The sequence below is a fragment of the Homo sapiens genome, chromosome 12 (genome assembly GCF_000001405.40).
Source record: "Homo sapiens chromosome 12, GRCh38.p14 Primary Assembly".
Lineage (NCBI taxonomy): Eukaryota > Metazoa > Chordata > Mammalia > Primates > Hominidae > Homo > Homo sapiens.
Genome location: NC_000012.12, coordinates 75,725,047 through 75,751,479, shown reverse-complemented (window position 1 = coordinate 75,751,479; position 26,433 = coordinate 75,725,047). Strand labels below are relative to the sequence as shown.

The 26,433-nt window shown below is 39.5% G+C and overlaps 1 long non-coding RNA gene across 4 annotated transcripts in view, besides 1 other annotated feature; it reads left to right on the top strand.

The window, feature by feature from the left end:
* Nucleotides 1-26,433, top strand: part of LOC105369844 (uncharacterized) — a 310,508-nt gene that overhangs the window by 83,289 nt on the left and 200,786 nt on the right. The gene's annotated exons all lie outside the window — the stretch shown is intronic.
* Nucleotides 4,291-4,792: an enhancer, noted in NCBI's record as "NANOG hESC enhancer chr12:76140468-76140969 (GRCh37/hg19 assembly coordinates)". NCBI's record gives its function as "activates a minimal SCP1, AML or CMV promoter by ChIP-STARR-seq in naive and primed H9 embryonic stem cells {active_cell/tissue: H9 hESC(naive and primed)}" and the evidence as "EXISTENCE:reporter gene assay evidence [ECO:0000049][PMID:30033119]".

The window sequence follows — 26,433 nt, the reverse complement described above, 5'->3', positions numbered from 1 at the left end:
TATCAGAGATGTGTCAGAGATATGGTATAAAAGAAAGGTTAAATTTTATAATGTCTAGTTTTTTTCAACTTTAGGATTCTAAGAAAAAAAACGATAAATGCCATTGTAATGCTCACAAGGATTGTTCATTTATATTGTATTTGTGGGATTCAGCTGAAAAATAACTTCTAAAATTCCAGCTCTGATTGGTAATTCATTCTGTCGTTTCTGAGGTATTGGCTTGAACGCCTATATTTGATTTCTGTGCTTGAGTAAACCCACCCACTGGCCAGACTGAACCCCAGTGTGTTTGACATTTTCCCTTTTGAACAGCATCCAGCATAATGTAGCTTACTGGAAAAAATCTACACAGTGTGACTCAGAAAGTCATGCAAGCATTTCTTTCTGTGGAATTCTTTATTTTTTTTTCCCAAAATGAAAATAGATCACATTATTTGAGGATAAACAAATCTGAAAGTGTTTCCAGTAATATCTTTTTATGTATAAGCTGCTGAAGATTAACTAGCAGTTCTTGGCTAAGATCTTGCTTCCTACCTAAATATCTCAGTAAATGCTGTCCTATTGAAATAAAATTCAACTTTTCAAAGTTTCCAACTGGAAATAGAAAATGAAGTCCTACTTCCCAGAAGGAGGAGTCATGCTTTCTTTTTGTTTAAAATGTCCGTAAATTATCCAACACAGGCCCAGCCACGCAGTGTACATTTAATGCCCTCTAAATGAAACTATGTAAGATAAAATTACAGCTTATGAAAAACCATGTAAGCTACATGGTTTAACAAGATCTGGATTCTTCTTCCTTTATCTTCCTTTGTTTTCTGATAAATTTCGGGAAATACTCCCAAATAAGCACATGTATTGTCAATACTCATAATTTAAAATTTATTATTTGTTTTAATTTTTATTTTAGGTTTGGGGGTACATGTGAAGGTTTGTTGTTACATAGATAAACATGTGTCATGGGAGTTTGTTGTACATATTATTACATCACCCAGGTAGTAAACCCAGTACCCTAATATTGTTTTTAAGGAGTTGTATTTTAGATATGTTTTTATAATTATTAATGGAGTGTTATTAGCTGAACATGCACATTTGAGATGTTCTTTAGGTAGAAGGATCTGTATGCAACTCGGCAAGTACTTTTAGAAGGTATTGACTATTGTAATGTTGGCAGTATAAAAGGAAGGAAGACAGGACCATAAGACTTGAGAGAATGGTAGTGGAAAAAGAAATAAGCTACAGAATGTTTGATCTGATCAATAAATAATAAAATAGTAGCTACATGTATTGAGTATCTACATTGTATATATTAGATACTAGGTTAGGTGGTTTGTATATACACTGCCTTTTATCGCCACCCTACAATACAGCATTATCATCTCCAATTTACGGGTGAATGTTCTGAAGCTGAGAAGAGCTGGGATTCATAGTTTGTCCCACGATAAAACTTACTTTCTTCAACCTATACCATGTTGTCTCAGACGTATCATAAATAAAACCAGGACAGACAAAGAATAAAAATGAAATCTTAAAATTCTCACAATGTAACAGTAAACAAAGTAAACAATCCAATTAGGAAATAGATAATAGACATGAAACATTTCACTGAAAAGATATACAGAAGGCAAATAAGCACATGAAAAGATGTTCTACATCGTCAGCCGTTAGGAACATGCAAATTAAAACCATAGTGAATTTAAAATTTAAATTAAATTAAAACCATACAGTACATCTATCAATGGCTAAAAAAAAAAAAAAAAAAATTAATGATGTAACCGTCCAATGGGTTCACTTTTCCCTCTGCCTAGACAGAGCCAATTTATCAAGACAGGGGAATTGCAATGGAGAAAGAGTAATTCACGCAGAGCCAGCTGTGCCGGAGACCAGAGTTTTATTGTTACTCAAATCAGTCTCCCCAAGCATTTGGGGATCAGAGTTTTATTTTTATTTTATTTTATTTTTTATTATACTTTAAGTTCTAGGGTACATGTGCACAACGTGCAGGTTTGTTACACATGTATACATGTGCCATGTTGGTGTGCTGCACCCAGTAACTCATCATTTACATTAGGTATATCTCCTAATGCTAACACTCCACCTTCCCCCAACCCCATGACAGGCCCTGGTGTGTGATGTTCCCCACCCTGTGTCCACGTGTTCTCATTGTTCAGTTCCCACCTATGAGTGAGAACATGTGGTGTTTGGTTTTCTGTCCTTGCGATAGTTTGCTCAGAATGATGGTTTCCAGCTTTATCCATGTCCCTGCAAAGGACATGAACTCATCCTTTTTTATGGCTGCATAGTATTCCATGGTGTATATGTGCCACATTTTCTTAATCCAGTCTATCATTGATGGACATTTGGGTTGATTCTAAGTCTTTGTTATTGTGAATAGTGCCACAATAACATACGTGTGCATGTGTCTTTATAGCAGCATGATGTATAATCCTTTGGGTATATACCCAGTAATGGGATGGCTGGGTCAAATGGTATTTCTAGTTCTAGATCCTTGAGGAATCGCCACAGTGTCTTCCACAATGGTTGAACTAGTTTACAGTCCCACCAACAGTGTAAAAGTGTTCCTATTTCTCCACATCCTCTCCAGCACCTGTTGTTTCCTGACTTTTTAGTGATCACCATTCTAACTGGTGTGAGATGGTATCTCATTGTGGTTTTGATTTGCACTTCTCTGATGGCCAGTGATGATGAGCATTTTTTCATGTGTCTGTTGGCTGCATAAATGTCTTCTTTTGAGAAGTGTCTGTTCATATACTTCAGCCACTTTTTGATGGGGTTGTTTGATTTTTTCTTGTGAATTTGTTTAAGTTCTTTGTAGATTCTGGATATTAGCCCTTTGTCAGATGGGTAGATTGTAAAAATTTTCTCCCATTCTGTAGGTTTCCTGTTCACTCTGATGGTAGTTTCTTTTGCTGTGCAGAAGCTCTTTAGTTTAATTAGATCTCGGAGATCAGAGTTTTAAAAGATAATTTGGCGGGTAGGGGCTTGGAAAGTGGGGAGTGCTGATTGGTCAGGTTGGAAATGGAATCAAAGGGGGTTGAAGTGAGTTTTTCTTAACGTCTTCTGTTCCTGGGTAGGATGGCAGAACGGGTTGGGCCAGATTACCAGTCTGGATGGTGTCAGCTGATCCGTCAAGTGCAGGGTCTGCAAAATATCTCAAGCACTGATCTTAAGCTTTACAATAGTGATGTTATTCCCAGAAGCAATTTGGGGAGGTTTAGACTCTTGGAGCCAGAGGCTGCATGACCCCTAAATTGTCATTTCTAATCTTGTAGCTAATTTGTTAGTCCTGCAAAGACTGGACATCAGGCAAGAAGGGGGTCTTTTCGGAAACGGCTGTTATCAATTTTGTTTTAGAGTCAAAACATGAACTGAGTTCTTTCCCAAAGTTAGTTTGGCCTGCACCCAGCAATGAGCAAGGACAGCTGAAGGTTTATAAGTAAGATAGAGTCAGTTAGGTCTGATTTCTTTCACTGTCATAATTTCCTCAGTTATAATTTTGCAAAGGCAGTTTCAGTGACATCACCCAGTGCTGGCAAGGATGTAGAGAAACTGGATCATTGTTACATTGCTGATGCTACAGAGATTCTGGAAAACAGTTTGCAGTTCCTTTAAAACTAAACATGTAATTACCATATGGCTCAGTAATTGTACTCCAGGGAATTTGTCCCAGAAAAATGGGAGCTTATGCTCACACACAAAACCTGTACACAAATGTTTAAATCAGCTTTATATATAATAGCCCGTAACTAAAAATGACTCAGATATTCTTCAACAGATGAATGGTCAAACTGTGGTATATCAGTACCATGGAATACTACTTATAAATAAAAAGAAATGAGTTACTGATACATGCAACAATCTGGATGAATCACCAAAGGATTATGCTGAGGTTTTTTTTTTTTTTTTTTTTTTGAGACGGAGTTTCGCTCTTGTTGCCCAGGCTGGAGTGCAATGGCGCAATCTCGGCTCACTGCAGCCTCCGCCTCCCAGGTTCAAGCAATTCTCCTGCCTCAGCCTCCCGAGAAGCTGGGATTACAGGCATGCACCACCACGCCCGGCTAATTTTGTACTTTTAGTAGAGATGGGGTTTCTCCATGTTGAGGCTGGTCTTGAACTCCTGACCTCAGGTGATCCACCAGCCTCGGCCTCCCAAAGTGCTGGGATTACAGGCGTGAGCTACCGCACCCAGTTTATGCTGAGTTTTTTTTAAAAAATCCATCCCAAATGGTACATACTCCATTATTCCATTTATATAATATTCTTGTAGTGACAAAATTATAGAAATGGGTAAGAAATTAGAGGTTGTGAAAGGAAAATGTCTTGGGCCCCCAAAATGACTAAGGAAAACTCAAGCTGGAAACTGCTTAGGGCAAACCTCCCTCCCATTCAATTCAAAGTCACCCCTCTGCTGAGATAGATGCATGTGTGATTGCCTCTCTTGGAAAGGCTAATCAGAAACTCAAAAGAAAGTAACTGGTTGTGTATCACCAATCTGTGACCTGGAAGCTGCCTCCCGACTTCCAGTATTTCTGCCTTTGCTTTGAGTTGTCCCACCTTTCCAGAGTGAACCAGTGTACTTCTTACATGTATTGACTGATGTCTCATGTCTCCCTGGAATGTATAAAACCAAGCTGTGCCCTGGCCACCTTGGGCACTTGTCGTCAGGACTTCCTGAGGCTGTGTCTCGGGTGTGTTCTCAACCTTGGCAAAATAAACTTTCTAAATTAACTGAGACCTGTCTCAGATTTTCTGCATTCACATTCTTAAAAGGGCGACATGAGGGATCCTTGTGGTGATGAAAATGTTTTGTATTTTGATACTATCAATGTCAGTATCCTGGTTGTGGTGTTGTACCATAGTTTACAAGTTTGGGAAAACTGAGTAAAAGGAATGTAGGATCTCTCTGCATTATTTCTCACAATTGTATGTGAATCTACTATTACCTCCAAAGAAAAATTTTAATTAAATAAAAAGTGAACATTATTAAATATGAATCAAATGTATTTCTTTTTTGTTTGAATAAAGTTATTTGAATTTGTTTAAGAAATTCATGATAGCAAAAAAGGAATTGGATTGAACAGGTAAAACGGAACTGATTTAGCCCGAGAAAGCATTTCCTGCCTTAGTAAATGTCAAGGTAATAGGGCCAAACAGTTTGGTATCCTCTTTGAATGCTCTTTCTCTAACTGCTGTATCTGATCAACTGTTTTCTTCCTCAAAATTCTCTAGAGTGTACTCATCTTTGGCAGGGCCTTTAATGCTGCGCATATATATGGTGACTTTGTGAGAATAACGAAATGGTACCTTGTCTAGCTGATGAATAAAAAAAGGGTTTCCTTCTTCCTCCTGCTGGGCCACAGTGCTTGGCCAGGAGATCACAGTCTGATCTTCAACAACCATCTGCCCCTTGGGAAACTGCTTGGTGCAGGGCATGGCTTTCTGTATGGCTGTATATGGTGGGCTTTGCCTTATTATTTTCTGCCACCCTTATCTTCACCATGGTTTGAGTCAGCACCATTTCTCCCCTGCAGCATTCTCTTAATTCTCCTTACCTCCAATCTTGCTTTTCTTCAGTGCTTTCTCCACACCGCAGCTAGAATTTGCTTTCTGAAATACAACTCTGATCATGCTGCCTCACCAACAACCCTACAATAAGCCCCCTTTGTCCTCAGTATGGAGTCTAAGCTCTGGGGGTATGGCACACAGGTCATCCTCTTCCTGAACCCACCAGCCTTTCTCCTCTCCACTTTTTCAACCCTTTTCTTATCTTCTACTGTCCTGCAGCTCACATGAGCCATGATCCCTCATCTTTGATATTTCTGTGCCTTGAATACCTGTTCTACTCTTAACCTCCAGCCTTGTATCTGGCTGACTTCTACATGTCCTTCAGAACTCAGCTCAGACATCCCCTCTGGGAAACCTTTCTAATCTCATGAGCTTGAGCTGCGTGTTTCTCTGTGTTCATACTCACTCTGAACCGTAGCCCTGAAAACACTGGTTTGTAAGTGTCTGCCTCTGCATCTGCCTTTCCCATATAGCTGCTATCTTCTCCAGGACAGGAACAATATCTTATTTACTATTGTAACCCAGGGATCTACCGTAGTACTTGGCACATTGAACAACCTCAACTGTCAGCTGGTAACACCTTTTTTTTATTAAGTGAATGCAAAATCATGTAGTTAACTGTTCCAGAAAATGTGAAGCTAGGGATAAGGGAAGAAGGGTGGAAAGGCAACTACTTTCTGGACTTTACATGTTCAGTGCCTCTGTTACAATGTCTCTGGAAGCTTTTTGATCTATGGGCTTTCACTTCTTTCTCATTCTGGCATGGAATTGGAATTTGAACTATTTTTCACACCTGCTTTAGTGACTCTGAAGGAATGTATCAATTAAGCAAAGAGCAAACCACTGGAAACAGTTCTGACAGGGTTATTCCAAAAGGATCTGCATTGGAAAACAAGGTCTGAAATGATATCTTTAATGTCTTACATAGCCATAAAATCAGGGAATGTGTAAAGGTCTGCAGGTGAGTGGCTGTTGATATTTAAAGCATTGAATTTTGGAATCTTCAGACATTCCTTTCAACGGAAGAATTATTGCCCAATGGTGGGAGTATTTATTTAGCTCTGCAGAGCCAGAAGATGCCTTTTCCCCCTCTTTTTTCAGCTGTAGGAATAAGGACCTGAGTGGAAAGTGCCCATAAAATTACTGACCCTCAAATCCTCCCTGATTTCCTTCTCATCTCTGAACACCCAGATGATCTTGCTCCTCTCATCATGTTTAGAACCTACCCCTCTGTCCTTCCAAGGGGAAAAATCAGCTGCCATGAAATGGGAGGAATGTATTTGATTCTTTTCCTCACTCGGCGAAGACTGTACCAATAATGTAACATGTGGGATCATAGAAGGGTATCAGCACCTGCTGTGGGTACAAAAGAGAGGAAACACTTTATTCAAGTCTTTATTTCTTGTCTTCATAGCTCATAACTTGTGTTTATTTTTTTAATTGACTTTTAATAGTTGTACATATTTTTGGGACATATGTCATATTTTGATACCTATTTACAATGTGTAGTTATCAAACCAGAGTAATTGGGATGTCCAGCTCTGTTTTTAAAAAAATTACATATGTGTTCTCCCTAGAACAAGGGCCAAAAAACTTTTTCTCTAAAGGGCAAGATAGTAAACATTTTAGAATTTACTGATCATACAGTCTCGGTCATAACTACTCAACTCTGCCACTGTATGCAAAAGCAACCACTGACAATAAATGAGGGGATTTCAAAAAGTGCATGAAAAATTGAATGAAAAAATAAAAATTAAAAATATAAGTTTTCTTCTCAGCATGAGCTTCAAGTTCAAGACATTTTTGTAAGTGATGGTACCAGCCATTAAGTTCATCTCTAAAAAACTGGGAGTCCTGGGAATTCACCATGTCAAAGTAATGTTTTTTATATTATTAACTGAAGGAAAATGGGTGCCTTTAAAGATTTTTTTATGATTAGGAGGCAAAAAGAATTCAGAAGGAACTGAATCATGACTGTAAGATGGAAGCCTAATGATTTCTTACTGAAACTCTTGCAAATGGCCCTTGTTTGATGAGAGGAATAAACAGGTGCATAGTCGTGGTAGAAAAGGATTCTAGTGAAGCTCTCCTGAGTGTTTTTTTGCCAAAGGTTTGGCTAACTTTCTCAAAATACTCTCATAATAAGAAGATATTATGGGCGGGTGCGGTGGCTCACACCTGTAATATCAGCACTTTGGGAGGCCGAGGGGGGCGAATCACCTGAGGTCAGGAGTTTGAGACCAGCCTGACCAACATGGAGAAAACCCGTCTCTACTAAAAATACAAAATTAGCTGGGCATGGTGGCACGTGCCTGTAATCCCAGCTACTTGGGAGGCTGAGACAGGAAAATTGCTTGAACCTGGGAGGTGGAAGTTCTGGTGAGCTGAGATTGCCCCATTGCACTCCAGCCTGGGCAACAAGAGTGAAACTCCATCTCAAAAAAAATAAAAATAAGAAAATATTATTGTTCTTTCACACTTCAGAAAGTCAACAAGAAAAATGCCTTGAGCATCCCCCCAAAATTGTTGCCATGACCTTTGTTCTTGGCCGATTCACTTTTGCTTTGACTGGCCCCCCTCCACCTCTTGGTGGCCATTGCTTTGAGTGTGCTTTGTCTTCAAGATTGTACTGGTAGAGCCTTGTTTCATCTCCTGTTACAATTCTTAGAGGAAATGCTTCAGGATCTTGATACTGCATGCTTAAAATTTCCATTGAAACCCCTGCTTTTGTCTACAGCTGATCTGGGTGCAATCATTTTGGCAGCCATTGAGTGGAAAGTTTGTTCAACTTTAATTTTTCAGTCAGAATTGTGTAAACAGAACCAATGGAGATGTCTGTGATATTGGCTGTTGTTTCTACTGTTAATCATCAGTTCTCTTCAATTAAGGCAGGAAAAAAGATAAATTTTTTCCTCACAAATTGATGTAGATGATCTGCTGCTGCTGGCTTCATCTTCAACATCATCTCATCCCTTCTTAGGATGAGTGATCCATTTGTAAACTGCTGATTTCTTTGGGGCATTGTCCTGTAAACTTTTCATAAAGCATCAGTGATTTCATCATTCTTCCACCCAAGCTTCACCATAAATCTGATGTTTGTTTTTGCTTCAATTTTAGCAGAATTCATATTGTTCTTATAGAGGCTCTTTTCAAACCAACATCGTATCCTTGTTTATGCCTCAAACTAGATCCTTTTCAGATATGTTGTAACCAGTTGGCATGAGTTTATTTTGGTGCAAAAAAATTTGAACTCCATGCATAGTTTTTTTCATAATACGCATTTTCCATAAACTTTTAAAAGACTCCTCTCATATAAATGAATGGGCATAGTTGTGTTCCAATCAAACTAAGCACTGAAATTTGAATTTCAATAAATTTCATGTGTCATAAAATAGTATTTTTCTTTTGATTTATTTCCAAGCATTTTTTTTTACTTCACAGACTGCTCAAAAATAGATAGTGGGCCAGATTAGGACTGCGTGCTATAATTTGTTGGTCTTTGCACTAGAATGTCAACTAGAGAGTGATGGGATTGGATTTGTGCTTTTAGCCAGTGCATCTCAAATTTAAATGTGCATATGGATCATCTGGGTTCTGTTAAAAATGCAGATTCTGTTGTGAGAGTCTGCATTTTTAACCAGCTGCAGGACCATACTGGTGCTGTGGTTTGCGGACCACACCTTGAATAGCAAGGTTTTCAAAGATTGCACATTGGCATCCATCCGTGCAAGACAGCTTGGATTGTAGAGGGACCGGATGGGGATGGGGATGAGTGGTAAAGAGGAGTTAGAAGGCTTTGTAATTGTTCAGGATTGCACTAATTAGGGCCTATCCTAGGTCAGGGTCAGTGAGGTTGGAGAGGGACAGATGAGTATGAAAGACTTCTGGGAGGTGGACTCAGCAGGTCTTGGTTGCTGAGTGGATGTGAGAGACAGAGGGAGGAGAAATTGAGGTTGACTACAAGATTCTGTTGGCCAATGGTGCACTTAGCAAGACCCCGATGATCCATACGGAAGTGGGTACAGAGTAGGTGCTTAATCAATGTTGTTTAAATGAAAAGGCAAGGGGAAGAGCAAGTTGGGTTGGAAGGGGATGGGAGAGAGAAGAGAATTACCTCAATTTGGGGTAGTTTGAGTTTGATTCTTCAGAAACCAAGAGAAAGTAGTAAAGGCAGGTAATGTTTTGAAGGCAGAATGCTGCCCGAAGCTGCTGGTCTGGGAATGGGTTGTTTTCCATCAACTGAGAATTTGACCCAGAACAACAGCACTACGCGTTGGGTGTCCCTTATCTGAAATGCTTGGGAGCAGAAGTGTTTAGGATTTCATGATTTGTTTTGGTGGGCGGGGAGGGGGGATAGATTTTGGAATATTTGAATATATACAATGAGATATCTTCGAGATGGGACCCAAATCTAAACACAAAATTCATTTCTGTTTCACATTCACCTTATACACATAGCCTGAAGGTAATTTTATTTAATGTTTTTAGTAATTTTGTGCTCGTGAATCAGTTTTGACTGCATTTTGTCTTCATTCCATCACATGAGGTCAGGTGTGGGATTTCCCACTTGCAGGGTGATATCAGTGCTCAAAAAGTTTCAAGTTTTGGAATCATTTAGATTTTGGATTTCTGGACTAGAGATTCTCAACCTATACCAACCAGGAAGAGCATAAGCTATACCAAAAGTATACTGAGGGCATTTGCCACCTTGCAAGGGTTCTTATATAAATGTTTAACTTTATTCTTATTTTACAATAGAAATTTTGTTACAAAAAACCATCGGGCTGCGCGTGGTGGCTCACGCCTATAATCCCAGCACTTTGGGAAGCTGAGCCGGGCAGATCACCTGAGGTCAGGAGTTCAAGACCAGTCTGACAAACATGGAGAAACCCCATCTCTACTAAAAATACAAAAGTAGTCGGGCATGGTGACATATGCCTGTAATCCCAGCTATTCGGGAGGCTGAGACAGGAGAATTGCTTGAACCCAGGAGGCAGAGGTTGCATTGAGCCAAGATTGCACCATTGCACTCCAGCCTGGGCGATAAGAGCAAGACTCCATCTCAAAAAACAAAAAACAAAAAACAAAAAACCAAAAAAAAAACCATCAAGGAATCAGAATTTGCTTGCAAATGTTTTAAAGCTCTGGCCTGAGAATCAACTTAATTTAAATATTATACCATAAGGCCTGTTGTCTCAGGTTTTCTCCACTCCTATGTTTAATTTAGTTGTTCTGCTGAAGACACTAAATATCTGTCATATATCAAAGGAATTTGTCATTTATGTAATATTATATAATGCATTCTTAGATGAAGCAGGTTTTGTTTCCTGTTTTTTGTTTTTGTTTTTAGCCCACTTTTACCTTTGCAAATTCTGATGAAAGAAAAATTTACCTGAATTTGCTGGTGATCTTTTCTGTCACTGGCCATAGAAAAACCCCAAACATACCAGCAGTGTTTAATTAACAACCTCCTGATTCTTCCTTTGTCTCTAGTCCTTCCCTCTTTTAATCCATTTTACACATTATTGCCCAATTAATATTTCTGAAGCTTATCCCTGATCCTATTACTACCTTGTTCAATAAACTTAAATGACTCTCTGTGGTCTACATAAGTCTGCACTCCTCAGCCTGCTTTTCAGTGTGCACCACCATCTGATTTCCATATACATTTCCAAAAGATTTCCTATTACTCACTTTTACCCACCCCACCTGACAACAAAATCAAACTCACTGCTTCCTCTCAGGTCCTGCTCTTCCCGGCCTCTGGGCCATGATGCAAGCTGCTCCATCCACCCACTCTCCCAGCCTACTCTGAGCCCTAAAGTTCTCTGAAGTTCAGGCCAAACTTCTGCTTCTCCATGAAGCATTCTCTGATTTCCAAGTTGAAAATAATATTTTTTTTTGTTTTTAATTTTCAAAGTTCTTTATCTGTGCAGCAAGGTATGGCAGGAAGGTTATGGATCTCTAGAATGTAAGCTCAAGGTAGGACCTGGTCCACTTATTCATTGCTGTGTCACCACTGCCTAGGCAAATGACTGGCACATAGTAGGTGCTGAATAAATATTTATTGATGAGTGAACAAATGGAATGAATGAATGACTAAATTAAGATGAGTTCAGTTTAAATTCAAGGCTACCATCACATGCAAATGCCTAAGACATGGATTGAAACAAGGTAGGGGCTTAATATGTTAAGTTCCTTCCTGTTTATTATCTCTTTTATGGCAGTTGTAAATCTCAGATATATTTATTTCTGCAGTGTCTGGGATCTAGTGTCAGAGGGAAAAGAAATAAATCTTGAGCACTTACTGTCTGTTAGGTTCTGTGCTAGGTGCCTTATATTCACATCTTATTTTAATTCTCCATAAGAATTCTATAAGGTAAGTATTATCCTTTCCATTTTACTATGGAGAGAAGCTAAACTCAAAGGTATTTGTCACTTTGGGAGCCCAGGAATTCAAGACCAGCCTGGGCAACATGGTGAAACCCCATCTCAACAAAAAATACAAAAATTAGCCGGACATGGTGGCATGTGCCTATAGTCCTGCTACTCAGGAGGCTGAGGTGAGAGGATCGCTTGAGCCTGGGAGGCAGAGGTTGCAGTGAGTTGAGTCATGCCACTGCACTCCAGCCTGGATGACAGAGCAAAGAAAAGAAAAAAGAAAACTTGTTATAGGTCACAGATTTCATAAGTGGTAGAGCTGAGATTTTAAAACCCAGTCAGCCTGATCTAAAACTCATGCCCTTATTACCTATATATAATAACATGGGTTATTAACTAATAAATTACAAAAGTGTGATGCAAAACCGTGTTTACCCAACTTCCACATTCTTACCGCTTTATTGTGATGGCTCTCAATATGTCACTACATAGCAAGTGCTTAATAAAGGAATAAATAAGTAAATGCATTTAAAATAAGCTAGCAAAAATGAATGAATTATAGAACTAGTGGATTAAGAATAAGCCATGATTTCCTACTAGAAAATCATGAAGTCAGATTAATGTCTGTTGACATGAGAGCACCAATTGCTTTTGCCAAAAGAACAAGGTTAGCTACAAAATGCAAATAAGTCCAAACTGACAAATAGTCTATTGCTGCCACCATGGAGTCAAGAAGATCTGCAGCCATCTTTGATGCCTGCCCTCTTAATTGCAAGGCCAGGCATGTAGTTTATTCTTAGTCTACAACCGCAGGCCTGAAAAGCAGCAGCTTTGGTTGTCTTCAGCTGTCATCCACAGCAGGTCCTAGACCATAGTAACACCCACTCCCGTGGAAAGTTTGAAGTAAAAGTCCTCTCTGACTCATCTCTTCTGACTATTCAAATCACAAAATTAACCAGGGTAGGTGCAGAGGAACTTGTAGCTGAGAAACTTCTGAGAGACTTAAGTTATTCACAGATTATCAACATTAGTTATCTCACCATATAAAAGAAATAACAAAGTAATTCTACCATCAAAAACATCTTCTAAAATCTTGAAGGCTATGTCCCATTTGGTCAGTGTGCAACTTTGGAAAGCTGATTAACCTCTCTAAGCCTCAGTTATCACATGGGGATAACAGTGAATGCTTTGTCTGTTGGTTTCAGAGGATTAAGTAGAAACATTTCACACTATGTTCAATAAGGGTTTTAATTAAAAATACCATTTTACATCTATCACACTACTTTCAGCACATCTGGGAATTTCTTTCAACAAGACACTGACTGCAAGCTGGACCAACTGTCTAGGAATTGATCCTGTTATTGAAAGACCTTCATATATATTTTATTTGCAACCCTATTGTAGGAACCTAGTATCCTAAAAGTATCTTTTAGGTGTGTGCAGCGATTCTTAGATATTTGAGAGAGATCTCAGAGTGTCTTTCAGGTATTTGCAATACATTGATTACAAATTGCTATTGATTTTGATCTGATTTGTATAGGAATAAATCCTGATTCTCATGATTAATACAATAATAATAAAAGCTACATTTTATCAGCACTGGGTAAGTGTTTGGTATGTATTATACTAACTTCTCACAATGTCTCTGTAGGGTAAAGATTATTGTCTTCACTTGCATATCTACAACCTAGATGCAAATTAGCTTATGTAAGTTGTCATCCATATCATAGACAGTAAGCAGCAGACCTGTGATTTAAGCGCAGGTCTGTCTGACTCCAAAGTATGCATTCTTTCCACCAAGTCACATGAACTTGGAACCCTTAGCCATATGGTCACAACCTATCACTTTCATATTACTGAGAAACATGGAGTGGTGTGTCAGTGTGACAACTCTGCTAGAAGACAGGAGTACAAAGATGAACAAGACATAAGAGAACAAGCAGCTTTGGTTGTCTTGAGCTGGGTCATCCATAGCAGATCCTAGACTATTGTAATACCGTCTCTAGTGGAAAGCTGGTTGTTTAAGGATTAACAGTTCAGAAGGGGGAGGCAAAGGAATACACAGGACTTGTGAAAACAGGCTGATTAATGTGTACATTGAGAGGGGCTGGATTAGGTAAGACAGTGGAGGAGGTGATGCCTTAGCTAAATTCTGAAGAGTGAATAGGCATTAGCCAAGTGAATGAATGGAGTTGGGTATGAGAGAAGACTGCCCTAGGGAGAAGGGATGATATATGCGAAGACCTGTAGCGGGAGAGACAGAGGCATGTTTGGAGACCAGCAAGGTGTTTAATGTATTTGGAATACAGTGGGTCCTCGAATAACATTGCTTCTTTCAACGTGGCTTTATTATAACATTGATTAGGAAAAATGATCAATTCTCTGCTGGAGTCGCTGTCTGGGTGGAGTTTGCACATTCTCTTCAGGTCTGCATGGGTTTTCTCTGGGTATGCCTCTTTCCTCCCACATTCCAGAGATGTGCACGTTAGATTAACTGGTGTGTCTAAATTGTCCCAGTCTGAGTGTTTACGTGTGTCTCTGTGCATGTGTGTGTATGCTTTGTAATGGAATGACGTCCTGTCCAGGGTTGGTTCCCAACTTGCTCCCTGAACTGCAGGGATAGGCTCAGACCATCTGCACCTTGAACTGGAATAATGGGTAAATAATTATCTTACTTGTTTTTATTAATCTCTCTTAAATGTCCATATAGCTCACATTTATTTCAATGTGTAATATTAGAAGTGTTTGGGGTCTTTATTTAGAAATTTGTTTTTGTGTGACCAGAAATATGCCACCAAAACTTAGCTATTGTTTATATCAATTAGCCTACGGTAAAATAATTTTCACTCTACATCGTTTTGCTTAAAGTCGCAATTTCCAGGAACATATCAATGATATTAAGTGAGGACTTACTGTATATAGAGAGGAGAGTGGAGAGCATGAAGCTTTGGAGTAAAGGTAGGGAAATTGGGCTTTATCATAATGGATATTTATATTGATGCAGGATGGAATTTAGGTTAGAGAACAGGAGAGGGACAAAGGAGCTAGTAAGAGGTAACAGCCATGGACCAGGGAGGTGAGGCTGGATGGAAAAGCAAATGAAGGCTGGAGGAAGCTCATAATTTGAAACGATGGTTCAGAAGATACTGGGAACATGCCTTGCCAGACTTCCCATTACTCCATGTATCACATCCTGGTCCATGGTGGAAGCAAACCTGTGGAATTACTAATGAGACATTGTTCAAAGGATTATTATATTTATCTCTCCATCCATTCTTAATCAAGGGCTTATGAATAAGAACAGTTTCTAAATGCTATTTATTCAGAATCTTCTCCACTAATTTGTCTCAAGAATTAGTCTTTGCTAGAAACTGTAGAACTGAGCCAAAGTGAATTCCTGCCAGTGTGAATGAGGTCAGAATACCTGAGTCACATAAGGTCCAGAGGGCAGGTAGCCAGCCAGGGCACCGCTGTGCTAGCCAGGGTGTCTTAACAACAGCCTAATGAAGAATAATTTTTTGTTCTGAGGCACATGGCTTTTAGTTGAAGAGGACAACTCCTAGACAACTAGCTAGAACTTTGCAGTAAGGAGAGCAATGTTGCTTGACCATAAATGAAGGAGAATTATTTGGTGCTGCCATATTCTCTAGGGGGCAAGTGCAGCTTCACAAAAGGGTGTCTTTTTGCCAGCAAAAACTAAACCAGACAAAAACCTTCCAACTCTTAGCTAAGGGGAATTCTGTGGATATAACTTGTGTTCTTACTCCTTATAACTTCTTGTTAATTTTGTTCCTTTTGAGTTCTTGTGCTTATATAGGAGGTAGTAATTTGGAACATGGTTGACTTAACTACACTGGTTGCATTGACATACATAGCACTTAAACTGTGCCCAACACATTTCTAAGGGCTTTATGCATTAACTCACTTAATATTTTTACAATCCTGTAAGGTAGGTAGATACTATTAATATCATCATTTCCAGTTTGCAGATGAAGAAACTGATGCAGAGAGACAAACTCATAGTAAAATAGCCATCTAGTAGAGTTTTGGACCCAGGGAGTATGGCTCCAGAGTCTGTGCTTGTGATCTGGGGTTTCCGAGTTTTAATGTGAAGTAGAAGCACTAGAAAAGTATGTTAAAATGCAGAATCCCAGGCCACACTCTCAGAAATTTGAATTTAATTTGTCATAGAGGGCCCTAGGTATTTCTGCTATTAACATGTGCCCTATATGCTTGTGATATGGGTGTTCCTCAGACTACACTTTGAGAAACAGTGCTCTAAACTACTACATTATCCTGTCTCTTGTTACTGTTGTTGAAAGTCTGATTGTGCCCTGACTGTTTCCTGCTTTCCCAGTATACTGCAGAATGCAAAGAAAAGAACGATGTGAAAATAACATTCTGTGGATGACTTCTATTTATCTATCATCTACTATCTATCTGTCTATCTGTCTACCTGTCTATCTTTGTATGTATTTTACAACATTGGTTCTGTCTATATACATATAAATCAGTTTGAATGAAACCAGTTTTAAGTGAAGTTTTAAAAACTTTACGTGATATCAAGTATTTCTTTGGACTTAATCTTCACGTTTTTATTCTTTGAGTCTTGCTCTGTCGCCCAGACTGGAGTGCAGTGGCACGATCTCACCTCACTGCAAATTCTACCTCCCAGGTTCAAGTGATTCTCCCGCCTCAGCCTCCCGAGTAGCTGGGATTACAGGTACCCACCATCATGCCCAGCTAATTTTCGTGGAGACAGGGTGTCACCATGTTGGCCAGGCTGGTCTTGAATTCCTGACCTCAGGTGATCTGCCTGCCTCAGCCTCCCAAAGTGCTGGGATTACATGCGTGTGCCACCGTGCCTGGCCTGGACTTAATCTTTAGCTATTTATTTTTATGTTCCATAGATTCATTTAGAAATAAATTCGTGGTCACTCTAAGAAGAGACAATCCTCGTATTTTTGTTACTAGATGCTTTGTGATCAAAAAGTGACACGTGTATAGTTCCGATACTGGGGTCAGAACTAATGTTTGTTGTGTTAGTCATTTTATAATGGCCTTTTAATGCATGTCGCTATGCTTTGAGAATGTGACCTGATCTATGGCATTTTCCTATTTATTCAAAAATGTCTAGTGTTTCTTGTGAGTTTTACTGTATTTCTTTTAACTCTCTGCCATAATTCTTATGCAACTGTGAAAAAAGATGTGCTGTCAGAGAAGAGTGAACATTGAACTCAGTGCTAAAATGATCAGATACTATTTGGAGTCTCATTTTTAAAATCTGAAATAAAAGCAGTATCTTTTTTCAATCTTATATTTATCTAAATTGGGTATTCAGAGGCATCTGTTTTTCGGTTAAAATTGTAATTCATTTCCACTTGATAGAAAAAAGGGAAAAAATAATCAGAAAGTCCTCACCAGTTACAATGTAGCCCTCTGAATTGACAAAGGTGCCAGACAGCTTCATCCTCTCCCTTAACACCAATATCCTTTGACTTATAATGAATGTCCCCTCCTCTAACTAAGCGAAATGATGTGAGAGAGAGCTCTTGCTTGGGGAAGAAAAAGAGAACAGGGAGATGAGATTTGCTAGAGACTAGAACAAAGGAACCTTAGCAAAGATGGCAGAGGCTCAGAATGCTTAGTGTATCAATGGAGGCAGGAACTAAAGTGAGAAGGGAAGAGGGGAGCTTTGAATGATAGTGAAGTGTGAATTATTTTCCATATCTTCCTTTTTTTCTCCAGTGGGCTCAAAATCTTGTGTTGTGATCCATCTCCTAAGAAGCAGCTTGTCTCTTATTTCCTTTTGCCTGTGACCATGTTCCAGAAAGTTCTGTACTCATGGGCCTAAACATTGAGAAAGGACCACTCCGTTTCCCCTACTTTCCAACAGAAGCTTTGTACTGTTTGGGCAGCCTGGGTGGATTTAACCTACCTTAGAAACTTTCCTATAAGGATACAGTTATTTTTTATTTTTTTATCCTCTTTAGATTGGGGTTATGCCAAAAAGAAATAATTGACTTCTGCTTCTGGCCAAGATGAAGTAACTGAGACCAAGTTTATCTTTCCAATTGAATCAATGAAAAAAAAAATCAGGCAAAATATATAGAACAAAGGTTGTTAAGACATTGGAGATCAGGTGATGAAAAAGTGATACCTGGGAGATGGGGAGCAAACAAGGTGAGCTCTATATTTGCCTCAGGTTATTGCTTGAATGAGTTCCCAGGTGGCTGTCCAGGGAGAGACGTCGCAGGTGGGGCCAGTGGCCCCAGCGAGTTGAGAGGACCTGAAAGTCTAGGAAGACAAAAGCAGCTAGAGTTTGCAGGGCAGGGTTCTGGAGAACAGAGAGCTGCAGAGGAGAGAAGTCCAGAGACCTGCTAAGGGTCTCCTTTCACTTTTTTGTTTGTTTGAGACAGAGTCTCTCCCGTTCTGTCGCCCACACTGGAGTGCAGTGGTGTGATCTCGGCTCACTGCAACTCTCCCTCCCGGGTTCAAGCCATTCTCCTGCCTCAGCCTCCTGAGTAGCTGGAATTAAATGTGCCCATCACCATGCCCAGCTAATTTTTGTATTTTTGTAGGGACAGGGTTTCACCATGTTGGCCAGGCTGGTCTTGAACCCCTGACCTCAAGGGATCTGCCTGCCTCAGCCTCCCAAAGTGCTGGGAGCCACTGTGCCTGGACTCTCCTTCAATTTTTACCTTTTTTTTTTTTTTTTTGAGATGGAATCTCACTCTGTCACCAGGCTGGAGTGCAGTGGCGCTATCTCAGCTCACTGCGACCTCCGCCTCCTGGGTTCAAGCAATTCTCTGCCTCAGCCTCCCAAGTAACTGGGATTACAGGCATGTGCCACCACACCTGGCTAATTTTTGTATTTTTAGTAGAGTCGGGGTTTCACCATCTTGGCCAGGCTGGCCTTGAATTCCTGACCTCGTGATCTACCCACCTCGGCCTCCCAAAGTGTTGGGATTACAAGCGTGAGCCACTGCGCCCGGCCGTCTCCTTCGATTTTTAAGGAGTGTGTTGATGGGCACATATGTGTGCGAAAACTTCTCTTGCCTGTGGAAAGAACTACACAGAAAGATTAGAAGAAAAACTACCAATAACTCACACAGGGATAGAAATAGTGCCTATTTCTTTATTTTATTTTATTTTAGTTTATTATTATTATACTTTAAGTTTTAGGGTACATGTGCACAATGTGCAGGTTAGTTACATATGTATACATGTGCCGTGCTGGTGTGCTGCACCCATTAACTCGTCATTTAGCATTAGGCATATCTCCTAATGCTATCCCTCCCCCCTCCTCCCACCCCACAACAGTTTCCAGAGTGTGATGTTCCCCTTCCTGTGTCCATGTGTTCTCATTGTTCAATTCCCACCTGTGATGGAGAACATGCGGTGTTTGGTTTTTTGTCCTTGTGATAGTTTACTGAGAATGATGATTTCCAATTTCATCCATGTCCCTACAAAGGACATGAATTCATCATTTTTTATGGCTGCATAGTATTCCATGGTGTATATGTGCCACATTTTCTTAATCCAGTCTATCGTTGTTGGACATTTGGGTTGGTTCCAAGTCTTTGCTATTGTGAATAGTGCCGCAATAAACATACGTGTGCATGTGTCTTTATAGCAGCATGATTTATCGTCCTTTGGGTATATGCCCAGTAATGGGATGGCTGGGTCAAATGGTATTTCTAGTTCTAGATCCCTGAGGAATCGCCACAATGACTTCCACAAGGGTTGAACTAGTTTACAGTCCCATCAACAGTGTAAAAGTGTTCCTGTATCTCCACATCCTCTCCAGCACCTGTTGTTTCCTGACTTTTTAATGATTGCCATTCTAACTGGTGTGAGATGGTATCTCACTGTGGTTTTGATTTGCATTTCTCTGATGGCCAGTGATGATGAGCATTTTTTCATGTGTTTTTTGGCTGCATAAATGTCTTCTTTTGAGAAATGTCTGTTCATGTCCTTCGCCCACTTTTTGATGGGGTTGTTTGTTTTTTTCTTGTAAATTTGTTTGAGTTCATTGTAGATTCTGGATATTAGCCCTTTGTCAGATGAGTAGGTTGCGAAAATTTTCTCCCACTTTGTAGGTTGCCTGTTCACTCTGATGGTAGTTTCTTTTGCTGTGCAGGAGCTCTTGAGTTTAATTAGATCCCATTTGTCAATTTTGGCTTTTGTTGCCATTGCTTTTGGTGTTTTAGACATGAAGTCCTTGCCCATGCCTATGTCTTGAATGGTAATGCCTAGGTTTTCTTCTAGGGTTTTTATGGTTTTAGGTCTAACGTTTAAGTCTTTAATTCATCTTGAATTAATTTTTGTATAAGGTGTAAGGAAGGGATCCAGTTTCAGCTTTCTACATATGGCTAGCCAGTTTTCCCAGCACCATTTATTAAATAGGGAATCCTTTCCCCATTGCTTGTTTTTCTCAGGTTTGTCAAAGATCAGATAGTTGTAGATATGTGGCGTTATTTCTGAGGGCTCTGTTCTGTTCCATTGGTCTATATCTCTGTTTTGGTACCAGTACCATGCTGTTTTGTTTACTGTAGCCTTGTAGTATAGTTTGAAGTCAGGTAGCGTGATGCCTCCAGCTTTGTTCTTTTGGCTTAGGATGGACTTGGCGATGCAGGCTCTTTTTTGGTTCCATATGAACTTTACAGTAGTTTTTTCCAATTCTGTGAAGAAAGTCATTGGTAGCTTGATGGGGATGGCATTGAATCTGTAAATTACCTTGGGCAGTATGGCCATTTTCACGACATTGATTCTTCCTACCCATGAGCATGGAATGTTCTTCCATTTCTTTGTATCCTCTTTTATTTCATTGAGCAGTGGTTTGTAGTTCTCCTTGAAGAGGTCCTTCACATCCCTTGTAAGTTGGATTCCTAGGTATTTTATTCTCTTTGAAGCAGTTGTGAATGGGAGTTCACTCATGATTTGGCTCTCTGTTTGTCTGTTATTGGTGTGTAAGAATGCTTGTGATTTTTGTACATTGATTTTGTATCCTGAGACTTTGCTGAAGTTGCTTATCAGCTTAAGGAGATTTTGGGCTGAGACAATGGGGTTTTCTAGGTATACAATCATGTCATCTGCAAACAGGGACAATTTGACTTCCTCTTTTCCTAATTGAATACCCTTTATTTCCTTCTCCTGCCTAATTGCCCTGGCCAGAACTTCCAACACTATGTTGAATAGGAGTGGTGAGAGAGGGCATCCCTGTCTTGTGCCAGTTTTCAAAGGGAATGCTTCCAGTTTTTGCCCATTCAGTATGATATTGGCTGTGGGTTTGTCATAGATAGCTCTTATTATTTTGAGATACGTCCCATCAATACCTAATTTATTGAGAGTTTTTAGCATGAAGTGTTGTTGAATTTTGTCAAAGGCCTTTTCTGCATCTATTGAGATAATCATGTGGTTTTTGTCTTTGGTTCTGTTTATATGCTGGATTACATTTATTGATTTGCGTATATTGAACCAGCCTTGCATCCCAGGGATGAAGCCCACTTGATCATGGTGGATAAGCTTTTTGATGTGCTGCTGGATTCGGTTTGCCAGTATTTTACTGAGGATTTTTGCATCAATGTTCATCAAGGATAATAGTGCCTATTTCTGTCACCCAGATGGGAAAACTTATAATTCATGGGACATTGGGTAGAATACTTAGAGAAATATTGCCCAGCAGTGGAGAATTATTAGCTCTAGGCTAAATACTGCTCTGGTATTGCCTAATGAATCTCAAAAGCATGATTCAAATGTGTCAAACTGTTTCCAAGTAATGTAATTGTGTCTTTGAACAAAACTCAAAAATATCTGTAGAAATGCAAATATGTCCAGCACCCATCAAGGTAAAAATCAAAATGTCTGGAATTAATTTAAAAATTCCTAGGCATGCAAAGAAGTGGTAAGAGATGACCCATGATGAGGAGGAAAACTTGTCAAATGACACCAAACCAGAACTTGCTTAGATGTTAGAAATCGCCAACAAGGACATTTAAACAGTTATTGTAACTGTATTACTCTATAGCACAAAAGCTAGAGCAAAAATGTTAAGTAGAGACCTGGAAAATATAAAAGGTCCAAACTGAACTTACAGGGCTGAAAACTATAATGTCTTACATGAAAAAGACACTGTATGAAGTTAACGGCAGCTTAGACATTTTTAAAGACAAGATAGACAAGATTGGCTGGGCACGGTGGCTCATGCCTATAATCCCAGCACTTTGGGAGGCCAAGGCGGGTGGATCACCTGAGGCCAGGAGTTCAAGACCAGCCTGGCCAACATGGTGAAACCCCATCTGTACTAAAAATACAAAATTAGCTGGGCCTGGTGGCATACTCCTGTAATCCCAGCTACTTGGGAAGCTGATGCAGGACAATTGCTTGAATCCAGGAGGTGGAGGTTGCAGTGAGCTGAGGTCACACCACTGCACTCCAGCCTGGACGACAAGAGTGAGACTCCATTTCAAAAAAAGAAAAAAAAAGCAAAGAAAAGATTAGGGAACTGGAAGATATTGCAATAGGAAATATCTAAAATGAAACAGAGAGACAAAAAGGAATAAAAAAAAATTTTTTTAAGTGTCAGTGTACTGTGGGACAACTTCAAGCAGCTGAAAATATGCATCATTTACTTATAAGAATAGCTAAAATGAAAAAGACTTGAGTATGCCAAATGTTGGCCAATATATATATATATATATATATATATATGGTCTAACCATTCCATTCCCAAGTATTTTTCCAAGAGAAATGAAGTCAAATGTCCACAGAAAGACTTGTTTGTAGATATTCATAGAAACTTTATCTTGTAATTATTAAAACTAGAAACAACCCAAATGCCTATCAACGACGAATGGATGGTATATCATCCATTGGTATGGTACATCCATACAATGAACACTACTTAGCAATAAAAAGGAATGAACTATTGATATATACTGTAGGGATGAATGTCAAAAATAATTACGCTGAGTGAAAGAAGCTAGACAACAGAGAGTACATACCATATTATTTCTTTTCTTTTTCTTTTCTTTTTTTTTTTAAGACAGAGTCTTGCTCTGTTGCCCAGGCTGGAGTGCAGTGGTGCGATCTTGGCTCACTGCTACCTCAACCTCCCGGGTTCAAGCAATTCTCCTGCCTCAGCCTCCTGAGTAGCTGGGATTACAAGTGCCTGCCACCACATCAGGCTTTTTTTTTTTTTTTTTTTTTTTTAAAGTACAGACAGGGTTTCGCCATGTTGGCCAGGCTGCTCTCAAACTCCTGACCTCAAGTGATCCGCCTGCCTTGGCCTTCCAAAATGTTGAGATTACAGGTGTAAGCCACCGTGCCCAGCCCCATATGATTTTATTTATATAAAATGCTAGATGATGCAAAATAATCTACAGTGACAGGAAGCAGACCAGGGATTGCCTGGACCCACGGCAAGGATGGGGGAGGCAGGTAAGGGAGGTAGTGAGAGATTAAAAAGGGGCACAGTAACTTTTGAGGTGATTAATATATTCACTCTCTTGATTATGTTGATGTCATTTATTTTGTGCTGGTTATGCATATAGTAAAGTTATTTTAAAAAAGAAATAACTTTTCCCAAATGATGAGCCATGTATCTTTTATAGAAGACCCTGGAATCACTTAAAAAATAAGATAAAGCAGGAAATGTTTTGTTGCACAATAGTTGGTAGGAGAAGTCTTTTCTCTCTGTTAAAACCCATTGGTCTCCGGAATCTAGGCCTCAGGAATCTGGGGAGGGGCTAGAGGCATAGTCTCTAGGCTGTACCAGCTGAGGCTCCCCACCAGGAGAAAATCCCAGGGCCACATTACAAGGGATAGTCATGAAGGTACAGAAGTAAGTAAATGTGCCAGGAAGGAGGAGCCAAACACAGACCAGAGGAAAAAAAGATAGTGTTGTGAACTCAAAAGGTAGAATTAAGATGCCACGTGGAAAGGGCTGGAAGAGTCTAAAGGTCAGTGAGAGGAGGTCTAGGGGCTGAAAGGAATTAAACAGAAGTAGAGAAAGGCAAATGCAGGCTCAGACCAAAATGGGAGCCTCTGGTGAACAACAGTCATCCCTTTGGACTTCTTCTGGTCAATGTTCGACGTGCTCTGCTGCTGCAAAGCAAAGCTGAGAAGCAACAGAAATGCATGCAACAGTTATAAGGCATTGCATAATTAATAAGAATGATTTTGTTGTGTAGATTATAGTAACATCTAGTTAGAAACACTTGGCAAGTGTGGTGGAGGGGAAAAGAAATTGAAAATCTATTTATTTAAACCTCAGTGAAAAAAAGTACTCAGAAGGTTAAGCTTTTTGGCCTTCGGCAGGGTTCCATCAAGGTATTTCCATTGGTTTGGACTATGAGATAGAACAGCTTTTGGTCTATGTGCATCAGCTGGCACTTGAAGAAAGGTGTGCAGTTAGGTGTAACAGAGATTTTGTTAAGAGTGCTTTATAATTACATTGCATTTTCAAATTTGTAAAATTCTTTCACATGCTTTATCTTTCTCATGTGGAGTTCCTATTTTTTAATCAGACTGATTAATTACTGTTAAAGATTATTTATATCAAATAATTTATAAAGTAAATTTTACAGTAGTGAGAATAAAAAGAAAGATTCACTCTGGGTCATTAGCTAGGTTGAGAAATCATCAAAACATAGGCTGGGCACAGTGATTCACGCCTGTAATCCCAGCACTTTGGGAGGCTGAGGAGGGAGGATCACTTGAGGTCAGGAGTTCAAGACCAGCCTGGCCAATATGGTAAAACCCCGTCTCTACTAAAAATACAAAAATTAGCCAGGTGTGATGGTACACGCCTATAATTGCAGCTACTTGGGAGGCTGAGGCAAGAGAATCACTTGAAACTGGGAAGCAGAGGTTGCAGTGAGTGATCATGCCATTGCATTCCAGCCTGGGTGATAGAGCCAGACTCCATATTTAAAAAAAAAAAAAAAAAGTAATCATCAAAACATAACCTTTAATAAGGAGCCTTAGAAATAATTAAACTTGCATTGTCCAATATAGTAGCCACTAGGTACATGTTTGTTTTAAATTTAAATTGATTAAAATTAAATAAAAGTAAAAATCCAGTTCTTCAGTCGTAGTACTTACATTTACACATGCAATAGTGCTCAATATGGCTAGGGCTACCATATTGGATAGTGCAGATATAGAACATTTCCTTCATTGGCCAAGGTTCTATTGGACAGTGCTGATCTAGACAAATATTTTTAGTGGCTAAAAATGTACTTTTAAATTGAATTTAACTTCAGGGCTGGAGAATTTGAGGCCCACAGAAGTTAGTGATTTATACAAAGTCACCCAAGAAGAACCTGAAAATGGCCCAAATTTCCTGACTTCTATATGAGTGATCATTTTAGCACCTCATACCACCAAACTTTTATTTTTAATTCTGCTCTTGAATAAGAGAGGATTGGATACTCCAAGCTGGCAAGTAATCAAACACTCATTTAGTTTTTTGTTTGTAATTTACATTTATATTTGAAGTTAGGCAGAGCTATAGTCCAAAAACTTTACTTCAAACAATATTAATGATGTCATGCTATAAAGACAGAATGCAGAAGAGCTTGGAAGTATTTCAGTTTCCTTGCTCTGTTTCTTTTTACACGTCCTTGTTCAAGCCACTCTACTCCATGCTGGGACAAGACAGTTTGTTCTTAGGTTAACAGAAAAACAGTCAGAGTCACCTCCTCTTAAAGCATCGAGCACCAGGTGGGAAAGGGCTCAGATTTTTAAAGGTTGCTCAGTGGGGCTTTGAAAATTAAAGAGAGCCCAGAAGAGATGTGGAGAAAGCATGCAATTACACTTGAGAAGGTGTAGCCTTTCCACTGGGTGCATTCTTGATGAGACAGCAAAGTGAGTCATTAAACAGTAGGCTGTCAATAAAGCTGAGACCCAGATTTGCCGTGGATCAGCTGCACTGCCAAAAATTTAACCATCTAAAAAAACCATGGGCAGATCCTTGGTGAACCCTTGGACCTGTTTGCATTACAAGCTTACAATCTTAATTTTTCTGAAAAGAAATAGAGAAAGGAGTAGATGTATATTGAAGAATTGCGATGAAATGCAAGAGTTCCTTATAAACATTACGCAGGGTCATTTTGGAAAGTCAATAATTTATAGCCTTTTTACTGGCCTCAGGGAAAAATGATCACTTCCACATTTGAATTTTAGTAAAAGTTGTTTTTCCTGGATCTCCATTAAATTTCATCCAGCTTTTGGCAGAAATTGTCTTCCTGGACCCTACTGGAGTGCTGGCTGACAAGTTACATCTTCCATGGGGCCACAACTCCCTAACGAATTCTGGGAGAGCAGCCTATTTTTGTTACCAGACGCTGGAGGATGCGTGACATGTCATTAACCTTCAAAACTGGCTCTGCACAAGAGTATTGTCAACAGATGGTGACTCTGATTCTCTCTCTCTCTCCCCTCCCTCCCTTCCTCCTCCATCCC